The 20,686-nt window shown below is 42.7% G+C and overlaps 1 protein-coding gene across 4 annotated transcripts in view, besides 1 other annotated feature; it reads left to right on the top strand.

Moving 5' to 3' along the window:
* The window catches only part of GABRB3 (gamma-aminobutyric acid type A receptor subunit beta3), a 230,212-nt gene that overhangs the window by 77,012 nt on the left and 132,514 nt on the right, over positions 1 to 20,686 (top strand). The gene's annotated exons all lie outside the window — the stretch shown is intronic.
* Positions 7,276 to 8,021: an enhancer, noted in NCBI's record as "H3K27ac-H3K4me1 hESC enhancer chr15:26933878-26934623 (GRCh37/hg19 assembly coordinates)". NCBI's record gives its function as "activates a minimal SCP1, AML or CMV promoter by ChIP-STARR-seq in primed H9 embryonic stem cells {active_cell/tissue: H9 hESC(primed)}" and the evidence as "EXISTENCE:reporter gene assay evidence [ECO:0000049][PMID:30033119]".

Raw genomic sequence — 20,686 nt, 5'->3', positions numbered from 1 at the left:
CTGCAGGTTCCAGCCTAAGTGTGGTGAATGGGTCGACGTGGCAAAAGGCAGTGTGGCTGCTGGTTGCTGGGGAGACAAGAGTCAGATTGCCTGGGACCCTGAGAAGAGAAACCCCTGTCTAGATTCAGGTAACTGTTGATCCAGTGTCAAGCTAAGAGTGTATACAGGTTTGCTGTATTGAAAATCCATTCTGACTGAGTACATGGGGTTATACCAGGCATAGCATATCTCTGTCCCCAGGAAAAGATGATTACCTGTATATGGGAGGTAAGATTGCAGGTCCCAAAGTTTGGAGTGCAATCCTGCACCTTTCTGCTCTACGTCATCGGGCCTCAGTTTATTCATTGTTTGAATGATAATAATAATAACAGTAATTATAATAGTAATAGCAGTAGTACCTATCTTAAAAAGGTGTGCGGGGTTTAGATGGGAAAATGTATATACAAAATGCTAAACACCATGCCTAGTCACAGGAGGCATTAAAAACAGGTGACTATTATTAAAATAAAAAAAAATAAAGTATGTGACAGAGTGACAGAGACTGCACTGTTTACTTTATCAGTATGTGTGCACCTGTGGAAATAAGCTGGAGGAGGAAGGATGTTTATAACCTAGATTCCTATAAGTCCAATATGGGAAGAGACCTCAAAGAATGTAAAATTTCCATCTTAGAGAGAAATAATTTCAGCTTCCAAACACTGTTGCTTTTTGTTTCCGGTTTTGCTTCGTATTGTTTCATGGTTCCCCATGTAGAATTTACTTACTAATTTCTTACTTAAACCTACCGTGGAAGAAAAGACTTTTGGGAGTTTTCATAGGCAGAAAGAAAAGACAAATTGCCTCTCCATGCCTGAAGATACAGTTTCCTTGGATTTACTGTCTCAGTATCAAGGAAAAGCCTCTCTGCTCTCTGTTTTGGCTTCTAGGATTTGGGAAGAACTTCCAGGATGTTTTGCTTATTTCACCTATCCAGAAGCTGTAGTCACCAAACTCATTGTTGCTATTATCATTTTGAACAGTTATTTGTTAGATCAATTAAGAATTAGGAAAATAAAATATTTTATTTTACCATCACTTATTTTTTTCTTTAATCCTTTCCCTTTCTTTATACAGATCTGAGTTCCTGACCTATGTAAATTTTTTTTCTCTCTGAAGAACTTCTTTTAACAATTTCTTGCAAAGCAGAACTACTGTCAACAAATTTCCTCAATTTCTGTTTGTGAGAAACTATTTCTCCTTTGCATTGCAGGGATAATTTTGCTGAATAAAAAATTCCAGGTTGTTAGTTATCTTCTTTCAACAATTGAACTATGTTACTCTATGTTTTCATGGTTTCTGAAAGAAAATTTGATGTAGTTCTTATCCTTTTTCCTCTGACTTTCTTCCAGCTCTTCACTCTACTGTATGTTCTCATGGTTTCTGGAAGCAAGTCCGGTATAAATCTTATCCTTGTTCTTCTATAGACAACGTGTTTTTTCCTTCTGACTTTCTTGAAGATCTTCTCTCGGTCCTTGGTTTTCTGCAGTTTGAATATGATATGCCTAAGTGTACATTTTTTGGGGGTCATTTATTCTATTTAGTCTGTCATTAATTTTGGAAAATTCTTAGCCATTGTTACACTGACTATTTCTTAAGTTCCTGTCTTTCTTCTGTTATTACCATTACATATACGTTTGTTATACCTTTTATAATTGCCCCATGGTTCTTGGATATTCTGTCAATGTCTTTTTTCTCTTTATTTTTCAGTTTGAAAAGTCTCTATTGACATATTTGTGAGCTCGCTGATTCTTTCCCCAGCTATGTCTGATCTACTGATGGGCCCATCAAAGGCATTCTTCATTGCTGTTACAGTGTTTTTGGTTTCTAGCATTTTCTTTCAATCCTTATTTAGTGTCTTTATCCCTCTGCTTACATAACCCATCTGTTCTTGCATACTGTGCACATTTTTTCTATTAGAGCCCTAAGCATATTAGTCATAGCTATTTTTTATTTTTTGTCTGATAATTACAAAATCTCTGCTGTATCTAAATCTGACTCTGATGCTGACTCTGTCTCCAGACTGTGTTTTTTGCTTTTTAGAGCCTCTTGTAATTTTTTGTTGAAAACCAGACATGATGCATTGGATAAAGAGAACTAAGTTAAATCAGTCTTTAGAGTGAGGCTTTATATTTATCTGGCTAGGGGTTCAAGTGTATTTACTCTTTGCTGTAGCTGTAGATGTTAGAGGTTAAAGTTTCATCTAGTGTTCTTGTTTTTGTCTTCTCTTTTGTCTTTGGGCTTCTCTAGACGTTCCTTCTTAAATAGAATCTGAGCCTTTCAGTTCTTCAGTGGTGATTCCTTGTTATTACACAAGAGCCCTGTTGGGGTCATGGTAAGGTATCAGGGAGAAGTATTTTATATTTCTGTGATTAGGTCACAGTTTTTAGTAAGTCTGTGTCCCTGGCCTGTGACCTTCACAAGTGCTTCTCAGCTCTTTTTCTCCCCGTTAAGTGAGAGAAGAAGAATAGATTTGTCTGGAATCAGGTACTTTCCTTCCCCCATATTGGTTAGGCTCTAGTAAAGTAGTTATCCTTGCAGATAGGCCTTTGTTAAGGGAAGAAGACTCTATGGGTGGATTTTAAGATGATTTCTTTTATAAAAATTTTTTAATTTTTATATGTTGCCCAGGCTGTTACATATGTTACTATGTTGCCCAGGCTGTTCTCAAACTCCTGGCCTCAAGTGATCCTCCTACCTCAGCTTCCTGAGTAGCTGGGAGAACAGGTGTGAGCCACTGAGCCCAGTGGAAGATGATTTCTTTTCCTCTCTTCCTGCTGGAAGAACAAGGGGATTTTTCTGTAGTCTTCATCTGAGAACTTGATGGGCCTATTGGTGGGAAAAACTCTCAAAAGTATAGGGGCTCTCCTAAGACTGGGCCCCCAGGAATTTTTAACTCTCAAGGTAGGCTATGCTCCATCTACAATCTCAGCAAGTATGTTTTCCCAACAGTTGCTGGCTACAGCGGCAGTTTCCCCTCTTAGTGAGCTATGATTCTCTGTATCTATCTCTCTCTCTCTCTCTCCAGTTTTCAGGGCTTTGTCCTATGGATTCAGTTTTTGGATGGATCTAATAAGAGTTGTTTTGTTTTGTTTGTTCAGCTTTTTTTTCTTGTTGTGAGAACAGGAGTGATGAACTTCAGGCTCTTTACATGTTGGAGTGGGAGGCAGAAATCTGCCAGAGGTTTCAAGATCACCTCCTCTGGGAGTGTGAAGTGTAGCTCTCATGTGGTGGAAATACCGCTCTGGTGGAACTCCTCATACCAGGCCAACAAGGGCACATGAAGTGCCTGTGTATTTAGCATGATCTCGCAGGGGAAATTCCTTTCCATTTCCTCTCTTATGTTTCCTCTTGCTGTTTCATTTTTCTGGAAACGTTTAGAGACTGCTAGGAACGCTGAGCCAGCTTGGGGCTCTGCCATTAATCAGCTGAGTGAATTCAGGCAACTCAATAATCTTTCTGTGCTTTGGATTTTCTTACCTGTGAAAACATTTACTGATACATGTATTCTTCACCTGATTCTTGTCAGAGTCAAGTAAAACAATGTACAAAGGCTCTTTAGAATGAGAAATCCCTGTTTATAGATTATTGGTATGGGTTTATTTTGGCCAGCTGGAACTGTTGTGACATTAGATCCTTAATATTTGAAAGACGTCTGAGCCTGGGAGCGGGAGAGATCTTCCTGTGCAGTTCTGGTTTTCATGGACTCTAATTTTTGCATATATTCTCCCTCAATCCTTTGTGTAACCAATAGTTTTCTTAAAGTTCGGATCTAAATCCTTTGCTCTTTAGGGAAAATTTTTGTCCAATAGAAAAGAAATGAACTTTTCTCAAAATTGGAAACATTAGAACTAGGCTAAGTAAAACGAGATTTCTTGGTCTGATTGTGTGTAGTTCTGATTCACAAAGCATCCTAGTGTACATGCATTTATACTATACCATTATCAAAGCAGTATAAATAATACGAAAAAGATTTTTTTCTCTGCCTTCATTGCAAAAGCTATTGGGATTATCACATGTAGACTTGTGACTAAAGTAAATATGCATGTATCCTTATCAGCTACCTCCAAATAGTAGTCAGCCATGCATGATGCAGAACATAAGCCTTTGAGTGCAAAACTTAGGGAATTAATAATCACAATTTAATGCCATCTCTAGCTTCCAAGCTAGAGTCAAAATACTTGCTTTTTTGAGTTGATTACAGTCTTGGCGGGATAGAAAATTACTTTTGGACTATAACTGATTGTTTTACCAAATACTAATATCTAAAGATTTCACAGAAATATAAAGGAGATCTTTGTGATGTTCAAACATGGGAACTTTTGTATCTGAAAAGGTTTCTGCTGCCACCAAGAAAAGGTAGTTTAGCTGTAACTACCTTCCTCCTGCATGCAATCTGTTTGGTCTCTTATTTCTGTTGTAATGTTAAAGTGTATTTCAGTTGGATACCCTCTCTCTTAGACAACCACAAACCAGAAAAGGGATTGTTTCTGAGAAGAGAAAGATCACCTCCATGAGATTAATTCATGTTTGGATGGCAGAAAAGACACTTGGCTTGAAGCCCGTCAATATTGAGTTGATCAATGTGAGAAGTATTGAAGCAGAGGTTGATATGTTCTTCTGGGTTATTTTCAATTCTAATTTTTATAATTATGTTCTCTTTAGTCTAATTTACTATAGACTGATTTGTGGCAAGCTACTGAGAAGAATCAGTAAATTCTAATCACAGCCACTTGAACCAACACATGACCCTGGTGTAAGGCTCCAGTGAGCAGGTTAGTTATAATAGATACAATATAAATAATACATTTTGATTAAGGATGCTAAAACTGGAAGATACACCAATATATTTGTAAGATCCATGAGCTGCACATAAGGAATGGGTTGTGGGGCAGATTATTGAGTTACTAGCAAGGCCTTTCTTTCTTTCTTTGTTTTCTTTGTTTTCTCAACTTGTTGAGAATTTTTGAAATGACCCAAAAATTGGGTCTTGATATCAGTAGGTAGGAAATTAATTAAGTATAGAAGAACCCCCAGGGAAGGAACAGATAAGTAACCTTATTTCTTGTAATTCCTTTTTCATGAGATTAGGTCATTAAACAAATTGTGATTCAATTTTTTTTCTTCCTTCCCTTCCCTGAAGAACCTGCTTGCAAATTCCCTTCGCCATGGGTCATTCGCTTCCTATCTATCCTCCTTACTCTGAGAGGCTGCTAGCTCAGCTGAGGTAGCTGCCTGGAAGCAGAGTGGATGTAATGAATGGAAGGGATGCTAATAGGGCCAGAGGCTCCCTGGGGTGGCCTTTTTGGGATTCACCCATGTGAAGTCCCCTAATCCTTTTTACTTTCTATTGTTCAGGCTTCTTTTTTCTTCCCCGTCTTTGCATCTTGATGGTTCTTTCCTTCCGTACCAGGAAATTTATAAAGAAATCATTTCTTTGCTTCATGTTACCATAGAAACTCATATACAAAACTCATATATTAAAAAGGGGAAAAGAGGGAAAAAACAAGAGAAACCTAAGGGATGTTTGAGAAGATAGAAATGAAAACAGAGCAGGGAGAGCAAGACTGGGACTCAGTGTCTCAGTACCAGCTGAGAAGGTATTTGCTGTCCAACCTGTGCTAAAAGAATCCTGAAGAAAAAAGAAGGGGAGGGAGAGGAGGGAATAAGGACCAGGAATGGGAAGATGCATTGCGAACAGGAGGAGGGGGAGTGAGTGGGGAGGGGAGAAGAGGACTGGATCAGCTGGGGTTTGAAAGAGATCTGTAGAACAAATGCGATTGGCCAGAACTCTTGCATCACCACTGATGTAATCATGCATTTAATGATGACAGGTTTTGCATAATTCCTTGCACCAGAATCAAACAGAGCAAGAATTTTGATCTCTGGTGCAAGGAATTATGCAAAACCTGTCATTAATTACCATAAACATGGCATGATTTGGAGTCAATGGCAAGTATATCCAATACCTTTTTCTCCCTCCAAGTCCTGGTTACTGGATGGACGACTGTGCTGGGTACAGCACAAACACTAAGTGGGAACATCAGCCCCACGATCACTGGGACAGGATGAGCAAATGCCAGCCGTCTGCCCTGGAATGACCAGAGTGTGCCCACTACCCATCACCAGCTCTATGTCCCCACCTGATCTACGTTTTGTCCTAATGTCCATGCCGACACCAACAGGCCAGGGCTGAGTGATAATTTGACTTGGCTCAGGATTAATCTTATTGGTAGTCAAGAAACCGTTTCTTTCTTATTTGCCTAGAATGAAACCATTAGTGCCTCCAATGTATTTGTCCCCAAGTCTTTGTAACTGCTTTTGTACAAGAATTTCAGGCCTGGCATGGTGGCTTATGTCTGTAATCCCAGCACTTTGGGAGGCCTAGGTGGGAGGGTCACTTGAGGCCAGGAGTTCAAGACCAGTCTGGGCAACATAGTGAGACCCTGTCACTACAAAAAGTTTAAAAAAATAGCTAGGTGTCATGCCATGCACCTGTATTCCCAGTTACTCAGAATGCTGTGGCGGGAGGATCACTGAGCTATGATTGCACCACTACACTCCAGCCTGGGTGACAGAGTGAGACCTTGTCTCAAAAAAAAAAAAAAATCCGTGTACCTTCTCATTCTCCAGATTGGTAAAAAAAAGAGCTGTATCTAGTGGGGTATGGCCAATACCCTATTTTAGATGTATTTTAGAGCTGTTAGTTTAGGTTAGAGAAATAAAAATGAAATTCTAAGCCCTCCAGCTGACTGAATGGACACCCTCTTGGCCGAGGGCACCCTAGAGCAATCTTGAAAACTTTCCTAGCCATGGCAGGAGGGGAGATCAGGCACGCCTCGTTATCGTCCCTCCCTTGCTGACCATGATTAGGCTTCTTTCTTAAGAATTAAACAGACCAGCCCTTTGGAAAGGCTGGCTTCACCGCTGATGGCAGACAGCCTCCCCAGGCGGCCTCTCCCTTGTAATTTCAGCAGAACAACCGGCCAGCATTCCTTCCTGCTTGGGGACCACCCAGCACAGAGTGGTTCTGGTTGGTTGACATGGATGCACAGTGAGGGGTTTCGTGTCCTCTGCCTCACCTTTTGATGTCAGAGGGCTGAAAACTCCACTCTGGGGTCATGCTAACGCCACCAGTTTTTGAACATGGGTCCCAAGAAGAGGCATGACGTGTAATGAGGCATGAAGTGTAATGTTTCTCCTTGCATAAATATTCGTGACTCCTCATAGCTTAATAAACATGTTTACTTGACCACCTCACTCTGCATAAACTCCAGTTCCTTTTGCCCCTTCCTGGAAGTGTCTGTTTCCAGCCTGTGGTGGGTAGTCAAGCTTCCCAGCCTGTCAGAATGGCCATGCAGGCTGTGACCCTTTATGAGAAATAAAGTTCTCTTTTTCAGGTTTATGAACCTTGTCATTCTCCAGGTGACAGGTGTGATTGAGTACACGTTTGCTGTCCCTTTTCCTGTGGTGTGTGTAGAAGCATCTGAGTCACCAGGGCAAGTCTGCGATGGAGGTCGCAGGAAGCCAGGTGCAGGAGACCAAGACTGTCCCAGGCGGGGCACTGGGGGACCTGGGACTAACCCCGGCCATCCTGGGTCAGTCCTGAAATTACAAACCACTGAACTCACTTCATAAAGAGGCCTTGTGATTCCACCAACCCATCTCTATTCTGCAGGAATGTGGCGAGGACAAATATGAGTTGAAATCTCTGTGAACCTTTTAAAAGAGAGGCAATTCCAGGAGTGTTATTCCTGCTTTAGGATCTGCATAAGAAAATGGGGCTTAAAGAAACCAGAATAAAGAGGAGCTGAAGTTTTATTACAGATTTGTGCTTTACAGTCCTGTCAACAGCTTAGCCACTCCTAAGACAGCTGAAATCATCTATGGAAACCTTTGTAGGATTCTTTGAATATTACAGTGTTCAGCCTGGGTAGCCAGCTGTCAGTGGCTAGCTTTATGTAGCATCAGAATTTCTCAGCCACTCCTCAAAAGTGACTTCTATGATTCCTGTCCCATAGAACCAATGCAGTGAATGTGGATCACAGTAGCCTTTATCCAGTATGGTTGAACTCCAGATGGACATAAGCAATAACTTAGGAGATGGATCACAGAAACTCCACAAATAGCATCGGTGACACACCTATGGCTCTCATTTTTATTGATTCCTTCAGAGCATGTTTGAAGAGTCCTCTGCTTCTCTGAATTCTTTATGCCCCACCCCCAAAGAAACAAAACAAACAACCACAAAACCAGTATCGGCATAGAGTCCTAGAAGCTTAATCCATGGACAGATAATTGTAAAATGCTGGTTCAGCCTCAAGTCAGCCATCGCCCCTGCTGAAGTTTAGAGTGGGAAGGGCTGGCTGGGGTCATAGAGCTAGTGATGGGTAGTGGGCACCCTCTGGTAATTCCAGGGCACACGGCTGGCATTTGCTCATCCTGTCCCATTGATCACGGGGCTGATGTTCCCGTTTAGTGTTTGTGCTGTGCCCAGCACAGTCGTCCATCCAGTAACCAGGACTTGGAGGGAGAAAAAGGTATTGGATATACTTGCCATTGACTCCAAACTATGCCATCTTTATGGTAATTAATGACAGATTTTGAGCTTTCCACTCAAATGACCAGTCTTGTCGTCATTATGAAATGAAGAAAACTTTCTAATTTTAGTTTCTTACACTTTTTGGCTGAAGGTCATATGTCATAAAGTCAGAGTGTCTTCCTCAGTAATAGGTTGTCCACTGGACTCAAAAAGCGTGCTCTGGAAAAGATGAAAGTTACTAAGATTCAGTAATTGTAACCTACTAACAATTAAAATAATAGGTGTTTATTCTAGGTAATTATTTGGTTTGAAGCTGGGCTTCTTTTTAAATACACATTTTCTAATGATGTGAAAAGAACATTCATCACAGAAGTACTTATTAAAACTTTCAGTCAGCAGGTGTAATTAACAGCTCCAGATATGCTACAGGGCAGCAGAAGCAATCGGTGTGGAAAATGCAAGACCTGCCCCATTTTGCTCTTGTCAGTCAAACTTTTCTCAATTAAGTGAAAAACAAAACAAAGGATGTGATGGTTCTAAATATTTTATATTATACTATTTTTCATCATTCTGAGAAATGATTGAGAAGGAAGGAAGGGAGAGAGGGAAAAGGGAAGAGAGGAAGGAATGAAGCAAAGAGAGAAGGGAGGGGATGGGAGAGGTAGGCAGGCGGAGGAAGAGAGGAAGAGAAAGAGAAGCATGATGTCGAGATGTGTCAGGTCACGCTGATTTAGGGCATTGCATGGACACGTATCCTGTTAGCGTCACCTCTTTTGTATCTAGGCAGTTGCATCTGTATGCAGTTACTTATATGAGTGAACATATGATTTAATAAAGCTCTTTGAAATTTTAAAATCTTCACCAGATTCTAAATCTCCCATACACATATATAATTTTGGTCTTTGAAAAGGTGGCATTGATAAATTTCTTGTGAAATATCCTTAAAATAAATTATGAAACTGCACGAGAAAGCTGAATATGTAAGTGTTCAATCTAGCTCCCTGGAGCACAGTGGAGAGTCATCTGACAGTAGGATGAGGAGGAAGACACGAGTCAGAACACCCAGAGACTCCTCCCTGCACCCTCACTTCCCAGAGTGGCAGGGGAAGGCCCTAGGTCCCAGAGCCAGCTCGCCATCCCTGTGCGCCTCTTGGCATGGAGCCCCATGGTGCACCAGAGCTGGCGGGTGGCTGCGTGGTCATCTAGCTTATGCCTGTTGTGCTGAGCTTGTCAGTTTCACCTTGGCACTTTCCCAGATGCGGCTACTATTGATACTAGAACTTCCATTTTGTGGAGAACCATCACACTCTAGGTAGAGCTTCTGTTAAATATATTCCTTCCAAAGCAGACTTTGTGCAAGTTGGCCATTCACAGCGACTCCTGGATGGCATCCCACGCCGGGTGCCCTGTGGCCTGGTAGCGTCACTGTGCCAGCACGCTAAGGAGGCTGTGCTCATGCTGTCTCAGCACTTCCCTGGGACACTGTCAGGGCAAGGCAAGGCAACACTGCTGGCCTATTACCTTAACTTTGTGAAAACCCTTTGATCTGGGGTATATTTCCATGAGCTATGACACTGTTATCATGTTAATTGTTAAAGCCACACAGTATGACCATCAAAATGTCTCTGAGATGTCAACACCTATTCTTGCCTTCTGATAGGAGTTGCATGATTTTTAGAGCTTTGTGTATAGTAATGGATCTCATACTGTTATTTATCAGTATCACTTAGTTATTTATCAGTATCACTTTGTGAGGGTACTGAATATTCTCAACAACAGCAAAGAGGTGAGAATGCCCCCTGAAAACTTCAGTGACATCTCATCTTCATTTGTTGAAAATCTATTTTTATATCCAGTCCTTTTTCAAAATAGTTGGTGGTCATTTTTATAACAGTCATTCATATTTTAGGAACATAAGAACCAGCTTAGAGCTGGGTGCAGTGGCTCACGCCTGTAATCCCAGCAACTTGAGAGGTGGAGGCAGGAAGATCCCTTGAGGCCAGGAGTTCAAGACCAGCCTAGGCAACATAGCAAGACCCCATGTTTCTACAAAAAATAAAAAAATTAGTCAGGTATGGTGGCACACACTTATAGTCCCAGCTACTCAGGAGGCTGAAGGAAGATAGCTTGAGGCCAGGAATTCGAGACCAGCCGGAGCAGCATAGCGAGATCCCACTCTACAAAAAACTAAATTTAAAAAAATTAGCTGGGCATGGTGGTGAACACCTTTTATCCTAGCTACGTGGGAAGCTGAAGTGGGAGGAACACCTGAACCCAGGAGTCTGAGGCTGCAGTGAGCTATGATTGCACCACTGTACTCCAGCCTGGGTGACAGAGTGAGACCCCGTCTCTAGGGCAAAAAAAAAAAAAAAAAGACCATCTTACTACTGAGATCAGTCCAATATTCCTGCCATCGGCTGTACATTTGCGGGTCTTTCCTAGCCATCATTTTGACAAGTTAGAGGCCCACTCCTACTATCACTAGATCTCTTTAATAATTTATTTTGAATAAACTGTTTCATAATCGTATTGAAAGTATTCTTGAATCTAATGATTTCTTTCATCCTGCATTACTTTTTGAGATAATCTCATCTGCTTGATACCTAAAACTATCTCATTTTTTTCTACATTATATTTTTTTGTACTCGTATATGGGGTAACACATAACACAAATGCTTGGTGAAGTATTTTCAGAAATATAGAAAACAGATCCAAATTCTCTTTTCCCTTGGAAATTGTGCTGTTATAGAGTTGGATCCTATCTTTATGTCTTCCCATTCTAATCATCAGCCATTCGTGCCTCCATTCCTGTATCATCAGCTCCATCCCATAGGGGGATGCATTAGCCTCTGTGCTGCAAGATTCCTCAGCTCTGCTATGAATTGCCTTAGTTGGCTCCCCTGTAAGCAGACACTGAGAAGACGAGCTGAGAGGAAGGGGCTTCATCTGAGAGGGTTGTGAATGCTGGCGGAGAAGTAGGGCAGTGACCCAGGTGGGAAGGCAGCCACCAAAGCCCCGTGGTTAATTCACTTGTCACCACCTGGAGCTTCATCCCATGGGACCTGCAGGGAAAGGCTATGCTTCAGTGTCATCTGACCCCTGAGAAAAGGAGGAGGCACAGTGCAGGCACATCTAACTTTATCACACTTTGCTTTAGTTACTGTGTTTTTTACCAACTGAGGGTTTGTGGCAACCCTGCGTCGAGCAAGTCTATTGGCGCCAGATTTTGAATAGCATGTGCGCATTGAGTGTCCTCAAGTTACATTTTGGTAATTCTTGCAATATTTGAAACTTTTCTGTTATCATTCTGTCTGTCATGGTGACCTGTGAGCAGCGATCCTTGATCTTACCACTGTGGTTGTTTTGGGGCACCATGAACAGCACCCATAGAAGACGGCGAGCTGAATCCATCAGTGTTGTGTGTGTTCTGACTGCTCCACCAACCGTCTCTCTCTTTCTCTCTCTCCTGTTTTTGGGCTTCCCTTTCCTATACCCTGAGACCTAGCACTATCGGAAATAGGCCAGTTAATAACCCTACCATGGCCTGTAAGTGTTCAAGTGCAAGGAGGAGTTGCACGTCCCTCAGTGTAAATCAGAAGCTAGAAATGATTAAGCTTAGTGAGAAAGGCACGCCGAAAGCCAAAACAGGCCGAAAGCTAGGCTTCTTGCACCAAACAGCCAAGTTGTGAGTGCAAAGGAAACATTATTGAAAGAAATTGCAAATGCTACACACTGGTGCACTCTGGTGCGTTTTTCTTCCCATATGTGAACATTTCTCTCGTACTCCCCATCATTTGTTCTCCTCACCTAGATTGACCGCCTTCAGCTGCATTTCCGCGTCCCTGCCTGTGGCCACCAGACCTCCACCCTGCGTCCAGGAATAGGTGGCAATGTGGGGGTGTACCTATTGTCTCTTCGTTGTCAATTTCCATCCTCCTGGGTGGATCCAGACTTGTGTGTAAGTTTCGGACTAAAGAAAATGTTAGGGTCTTCAGGGGACGTCCTGAGCATATTCCTCACCCCCACTTCCTAGGTTGCAAAATGAGAGTGTGGAGCTGTTCATTTGGTAAGTCAGTCTATTAACCTAACCGTGCACACCCTGAAGTGCCACCTGCTGTCACTCTTATGCCTAAATCTCACTCAAAACTTCTTCTGTGGTTTTTCCCATTCCTTGGATGAAGGGAACCTATTATATTCCTTATAATAACTCAGCAGCATCTGAAAACCTGGAGGTGGATTTGTGCCCTCCTCCTCCTAGGTCAGTTATGGAAACGTCACAGCAATCTCCACACCTCCCTAGAGAGGTCTCCAGTCCTCCGATTGGAGACATTCTTCATGCCATTCTTTCCTTTTCCACAAGCCAGGTCCCCACTCATGAGTGTATGAGAGTGTATAATCCTATATAGTTTTAGAGTGGCTAACAGGTTGTTTGTGTTTTGTTCCCCCCGACCCTGCCCCCTAGGAGCATGTGGTGGAAAAGCCATGAAAGCGTTTTTCAGGTCTAAACTCATGATCTGTATTGAGATTCCTCCTGTCTTCCAGTTCCAGGAGACGAGGGTGGCAGAACATCTGACATAGATCAGGTTCACGTATGTCTTCTCTGCTACGACAATCATGTCTGCACCTAGAGGTCAATGGAAAGGTGTCAATCTCGTCCATTGATTCATTCACCAACCTTTTAAAGCATTTACCTTATATCAGGAACTGGACTAGGGGCTGGTGATGGAGCAAAGAACAGACCAATTGGGTAGCCCTCATTCCCCACCCCACCCAGCAATGAGCTGTTTCCTACCAGGAAACCCAGCGATGGGGGAGCTCTGAAACTCCAGGTGGGTGCCTAGTCTGGAATTAAAATCGACCCTCAGATACCTAGAGGAAGTTCCAGCTCACATATGCTGTCTTTATTATTTTGTAATAATACAATTTATTAATTTTATCAATTCTCTTAAACATTTATTATAAATGTTTCTATTATTTTATAATAGAGGCCCGACAAAAGAGTGTTTACAATCCGCATCACACCAACATCCAGCGTTGGCAGCCAGCAGCCTTGTTGATGGAAGAGTTTTTTGTGAGCAGCTCTCACCTGGCTGGCCTGGGGAGTCTGTTTTGAAGCAGAGGAAGAAGTGCAGGCCCTGAGTTTGTTCCTAGAACCCAGTGAGCCGGCTGCTGGGGGCAGTGGTGGGGGCAGCACTCTCTAGTGGCCAACAGCCATTCAGGCCACAGCTGCAGGAGCTCCTGGCACTGTGAGAGGAGCTGCTCTTTGGGCTCCAGGCTGAGTGGCCGGCTGTGTCCCCAGCTTGCCGAGTGTTCTGGGAGGTTGATGGGTGTATTTGCAGGGTAGTGATGGCCCTGAACAGAGGGGCAGTGCCCCCTATGCATGGAGGACAAGGGATGTCTTTTCAGAGCCTCAAGTCCTCCCACCTCATTGTCTAACAATACTGGGCCTCCAGGCATGAGGGAGTGTAATCCCTGAGTTGGTACAAATCCATCATTATGTCAAAGGACATTAAGGTGCAAGGGATGTGACCTCTACTCCAAGTCACCCTGCTAGTTAGGGGCAAAGCTGGGACTCAGAACTCCAAATTCCCTTTCAGCATCAGGCTCCTACCAGCACAAGAGTGAGTTTTCTATAACATTGTGTTGATGCTCTTTCATTTAAGTAAGCTCGGGGGCTGTCCCGTGCCGGGCTCCGTGTCTGTACATCCTGCATGGGGTTATGTCAGTACTGGTCTTTTCACGGGCCCTGCTCAGATTTCATTTTGCTCCATGATAAGGCTTTATGTGCTCTGTGCCAGCAAATAATGGGGAAGCTTATGGAAACCCGCCCGGGCATTTTCCTTCAGTATAACAGTAAAAAGGGCCAGTTGCACAGGGAGTGGGAGAGGGAGGAAGGTATTGAAGCGCTCATCCCAGGATTCCATGCAGCCTTTGTTGAGGACGTTGTGAATGTGAAGGGGAAAGTAGAGTTGCCTGTGCTGTGGATGAGTCACCACTGCCTTCGCGGCACCGTTGAGAAATGCAAGAAACTGACGGTCAGACATTAGCACCAGGTCTTATAAGGACAAACCTAAGGGTAAATCATTTGAGTCAAAGATTTAGTAATCTTCCTCCAAAAAATAAAATAAAATGAAAAGACCCAGAAAATATTCAGGGTAAACAGAAGCAAGTAGTTAGCAATGCTGTGATAATTTTGTGAAATAATAATTTTTTTTTGAGACAGAGTCTCACTCTGTCACCCAGGCTGGAGTGCAGTGGCTCAGTCATAGCTCACTGCATCCTCAAGTGATCCTTCCACCTCCACCTCCCAGATAGCTGGGACTAGAGGCACGTGCCACCATGCCTGGCTAATTTTTCTTATAAAACATTTTCTTTGTAGAGTCAGGATCTTACTGTGTTTCCCAGGCTAGTCTCAAACTCCTGGCCTCAAGCTATTCACCCACCTTGGCCTTCTGGAGTGCTGGGATTATAGGCATGAGCCACTGTCTCTGACCAAAGACATTCTTTTACATCATTGGAAATACATTTCCAAGCTGCAAGGCCTGGGAATGCCTGTCATTAATTAGAACCAAGATAAATTTACAGTTTCTGTTTTGTAACATGGAAAATTATATATATCTCAACTCTTGAAAACATCGAGAAGGACAGGAATCCATAGCCCGTTGGAGGAGGGACAAAGGGACTTTTCCTGGGTGCTCTGACTTTGCATACCTTAGCACAGACACAACGTGAGGCAGAACCACTTCATGGTCAGGTGTAGCACCTGGGTTCTGACAGTATCCCCTTTCCCATACGGGGGGGCAGAATATCAGTTTGGATATTATTTATGTTTTTAATAATCTGATTTCGAGGGAAAGTAATAGGCATTTAGAAACTTGCATTGATTTTCTCCCTGAGGAAGGAGATGGAAGGCAAATTATATCATCCCTTCCCCTTGTCATTTTGAGTCTAAGTTCTGAATGAAATGAGGAAGGAATCCAGGATGATCGCATCCATTTCTAATATTAGAAATGCCGCTGGTTGGTTGGTTTGTTTATTTCTCATCACATCCAAAAGATTGAAGGCAGCTTACAAAAATACATAATGAGCAATACGATTTTTAAAAGGAAGAGATTTGAAATCAGGCCTAAAGGAAAACAAGGATTAGAATGAAGTAATATAAAGCCATGAAGAGGGTTAATCTTACAAAATGCACGCATTCATGGCTGCTACAATTGCAAGAGGAAGGACACAAGTTTACTTCCTTTTTTCTAGCAAGCAGCATAAAGGAGACAGGATAGTTATTCAGTAAGAATGTGGTGTTCCTTGACCTGAGTTTGACAACAAACCCCTCTCTGGGGCCTCAAAAAGGGAGCAAGCTGCATTCTCCACTCACTGCTGCCACCATTTAAAGTAGTGTATCTCTTAATGACGTTGTTGAATAATCATGCCTACTTATTGGATATTTCTCATATCCAATTCTATGGAGTCAGTAGCTAAAAAAGTTTAGCTGCCTAGTAAATGATTAACACTGCAGTCAATCTGACCACCACAACTTTGCTTTTAATCATGCGGTAAATGAAGAGAAGAACAAGTTTAGGAATTTTTACTCTGAAAGGTAAGCATCATCTATTCCAGAAGACATATCGAACAGTGTTCCCATGTGTCATTTTTGGCTACAATAGAACTTGACTGTTACACCAAGAAGAGTCAATTTCATAACAAGGCTGTAGGGTGCCCATAGGGTAGGATATAGGGTGTGAGCAAAGTAGGACTAGGAGGCCAGTTCTTCCAAGGTGGGGATTCATTTCACTTGCAGTGTTAGGAAGGGAGCAAGAGTGATAAAGTGCCTGTCAGCCTTCTCCAGAGAAAGAGAACCAATAGGATGTATATAGAGAGATACTCATTTTAACCAGTTGGCTCACACAATTGGGAAGCCTGGCAATTCTGAAATCTGCTGTGCAGGCTGACAGGCTAGAGACCCTGGAAAGAGCTGATGCTGCAGCCTTAGTCTACAGGCAGTCTTCCTCCTGGGAGGACCTCAGGCTTCTTCAGGACCTTCGACTGATTGGATGAGGCCCACCTTCATCGTGGAGGGGAATCTGCCTTACTCAAAATCTATTGATTTAACTGTTAATCCCATCTGAAAAATAGCTCCATAGCAACATCTAGACTTGTGTTTGAACAGACATCTGGGCACCATAGCCTACCCAACAAAATGAATGACACGTAAAATTAACTACCACACCAGATTATGAAAGAAATAGAGGGAAGATGCTAATAAGAAAGTTAATCTGTAGAGTAACCTGGCCACAGATCAGGGCTCAGTCTCTCCACATATGATTGACAAGTGCCTTAGAGAGTGAGGAGTTAGATTTATGCTGTGGATCCAGTGGGTCCCAGCCCCAGGATGCAGCATTTCATCTGATGCAGGGAAGAGCAAGTTGCCCTGCTCACTGGGACAGGCTGATTCCCCCATCTCCGGAAGCTTTCTGGAAGCAGTGAGATTGGCTCTGGGCTTTTGTGGAGGGAACTGTTTCTGGCTCTGGGTGGTCCTAGATTCAGTTCTAATATTCTCTGCTATTCTCTATTAGAGAATATTTAACTTAAGATATTGTGATCATCAAAAATGATTTCCTTTCCAAAATAAATGGTCAACCTGACCTTGAAAGTAGGGAGGTGGGGTGAGGTAGGGACGAGCATCTGGGTTTGTGATGTGAATGTATAATAGACACCACATCATAGAGCAATGCGTGTGACCGGATCAGAGTGAAATGCTAGTACGTATGTGCGACTTCTCAAGAGCAGGTGAGTGCGATTCTCACCGTTTTATTCTGAAAGTTCAAGGAGGATATTTTAGAAAGGTAGATGCCAGCCTGTGCTTACACTAAGGAGGTCAGAAACAGATTTCAGTGGACAGTGTAGCCACATTGCTCAGTGAGTGAGGGGCTAAGAAGCAAGTACCAGAGGGCAGAGGGACTTTCCCCCCAAAAGAGTTAATGTTTTCATTTTGATTTTACACATTCAAATAAAAGACAACAACCCACACCTCATGTCCCATAAGGTATGACTGAAGTGTTGGTTTCATCGCCAATGATATAGACCTTGTTGGTGCCCCCGGGGCGGATGCTGGAGGTCTTTCTGCAGGTTCTGGGTCTCCTGTTCCATAGAGACCTGCCTAGAGGGACCCTGCCCTGTGGGTCTTTGCAGAGAACAGCCTCCCTTGAGCTATCCCACTCTGTCTGTATAGTTGAGGTTCATAGAAACTCACACTAACATATCATGGGTTCCCACTTAATGGAAATTTTACAATCACTGGGCTCCTCTGATTCTTGAACTGAACTCAGCCTCAGTGAGGTACACTTTCATCTGGGACAGAGAAACACCAGCCCCCAATTGCCTTTTTGCTCCCAGCAACCAGGGCTCCAGAAAAGCAGCTTCCCAGTGTATACCTGGCTGTCCTTCAGAACTCACCTTCCTGGGTGGGTTGAGAGCCATGGTCACCTCAGAGTCGATCCATCCATATTTCCTTTAGAATCTCTCTTACTGTTTCTCTTGCTCTGGCTTTCTCTCGGTTTTTCTTCCTCTCTGTATCTCTCTCCCCCTCTCTTTGCCTCTCTCTCTCTCTCTCACTCTCATTCTCTCTCTCTCCTTGTGTTGCTCTCTTTCTCCCTCTGGCTTTCTTTCTCTTTCTTTCTCGTGCTTTCTCATGCAGTAAGGTTCACAGAGAAGCATGGAAGAGCACGGGGCCTGGGCAGGCTGTTGCCAGGATCTTCCCCGCACTCTGCAGTCAGGTGTGTTAGTAACACCGTGCTTGCTGAAGGCCAGGAAAACAACATTGTCGGGAGCCTGAAGGAGGCACTAGAATGTGTGTCAATTAATTTAGAATAAGAAATTGTCAGCAGCCTAAGCATAGAAGTCCACAGGGCCAGCTCATTCTCTCCCTGCAGTCAGCCTCCTGAGAGGCCAAATCATAATGAGAATGTTGCTGTGGTTGGTGAAGATAAAAATCACCAAGGATTGAGTGGGTCTTATGAAGATGTCTCAAGAGCATTTGGGGGCAGCCCTATCCTAGCCCTCACATGGTTCTGCTCTCACTCTTGTTTTGGGCTTTCCTTTCTTTGGTGCGACACCCACTCTGTTTTTTCTTTGGATTTGTTACTGGCACTAGTCAAATTGCTAAAATGCCCACACAGCGTAGTTTTAGATAGAGCTGGCCCCCAGTGCCTAATTGGAAAATAAATTCCTGACCTCTCTTTCACAGATGTAGTGGAGGCTGCTTCATGTGTTTCTGGAGGCCCTCGTTGCCCTCCTGTGTGCTGATATCTGGGTGAAATTGGGAGGACAGTTTTAGTTCCCTGATTTACAAATTCTTATGGGAACTTCATGATAGCCCTTAAACATGAACAAAACAGGAGCCCAAACTATTAAAGCATTTTCATGAGTTAACTTCAAAGTAAATAACCAAGAAGTCAGAGCAAAGAGATAGTAAAAAATAATCTGATCCTCCATATCACAATGTAGTATTGTAATTTTGGTTCCCTTTACCGTAAATTGTCTTTCTTTTCCCTTTTTTGGAATGGGTAAGGAAAGCTGTTCTACCTTTGCTTCATTCTTCTGGATCCCCAGAAATTGGGTGGGTGGTATCTTCTTCAAGCTTGAGCCCTAGAATTCTGTAAAGTGCATATGTGGTGTCTCCCGGGTGGAGAAGGATGGCCAAGAGGAGGCCAGAGCCCTTGGCTTCCTGTATTTTCTCTCCCCCAAAACCAGCTTTTAGGAAAGGCTGTGATAAACTCTAAGATGTCCATGAATGAGAGGACTTTAAAAGTTATCATTGCAAATGAATGAACAAGATTTGTATGATCTCTTCTATGGATATTTGCATTTAAACAGTCCATGTTTGAAATCAGCGAAGGGAAAGGTGTTCTAACTGGGAATTGGGGCACCTTTCATCTAATAGGGAACGTATTTGGGGGGCAGAACAGCCTTCCTACCTCTGAAATCACAGCTGTTTTCAGTCCTGCCCTTTTGATCTAAAGGACTTAAATTTCAGATGTTTTAGATGAGGCCAAAGAATAAAAGTAATATAGAGGTCAAAAGAGGCAACTGGGATCCAACTTATCGATGTTATTCCATGTGCTACCATTTCAATCATGGAAGAGTTCTTCCCAGCACAGGTCCCAGACCTGTCATACCCAGTTCACTCAAAAGACAAGCCTAAAATGAGCAGGCATGAGCCACTTCTCTAGTTAATATTATTGCTAAAATAGATTTTTAAACCAAAGTCACTATATAAATTTTTAAAAATCTAAGGGAGAAAAAATTCAAAGAAAAAATATATATAATATCTGGTATCATGTGGAAATCATAATCATTTATTTTATCTTGAAAGTATTATTTGATTAACATCATTCATGCTTAGGTCTGTTAGTGGGGGAGTGTAATGTAAATGATGGAATTAACAAGATTTATTTAAGACTGATCTATTTTAAGCCTGATGGAGATGTTTAAGCATGGAGAATTTAGGAGTGTATGTATGCCTAAGAAACTGAAATCTAAGATAGCAAGATAGAATAGCTCACTAAGTTCTTTTCTTCCTGTGTTAGTAGCTTGAACTTAAGAGCCATTTCTGATAAGAAATTGAACACTTATAAAGAAATGGCAGTTCTGCCCCTGTGCACCTGTGTGTGTATATGTGTGTACACACACAAGTGCAGTGCCTTGAGTCTCTGTGATCTTCCCAAGTGGTAGTTTTAGTCCTACCGGGTTCTGTTTCGTGTCTGGGAGCCTGTCCACTCCTTGTTGGTCCACTCTCATCTCACAGATTGATGGACAATGCCCTGAGCCAGCCTTCCACCCCCAGGGACTTGGCAGGACCACAGTCAGAAATGAAAAGAGAAGAGGAAAAACCCTGGGGGGAGCCGCAGATATTTGATTTTGTGTAACTTAATCAAGTGCTAGTCACAAAGAGAAGTCTGTTGAAACAAAATAAATAGTTGCAAGCAGGTGCTGAAGAATTCATTGCTTAACAACTCAGGAACTTTGAAAGGTGTGCTCTGTGCTTATGGATGCAAAAAGATAGAGGGTCTAGTGGTGACTCCTTAAGCACTGTAATTAATTAGCTCAATT

Source organism: Homo sapiens, chromosome 15 (assembly GCF_000001405.40).
Source record: "Homo sapiens chromosome 15, GRCh38.p14 Primary Assembly".
Classification (NCBI taxonomy): domain Eukaryota; kingdom Metazoa; phylum Chordata; class Mammalia; order Primates; family Hominidae; genus Homo; species Homo sapiens.
This window is presented reverse-complemented; position numbering and strand designations above follow the sequence as displayed.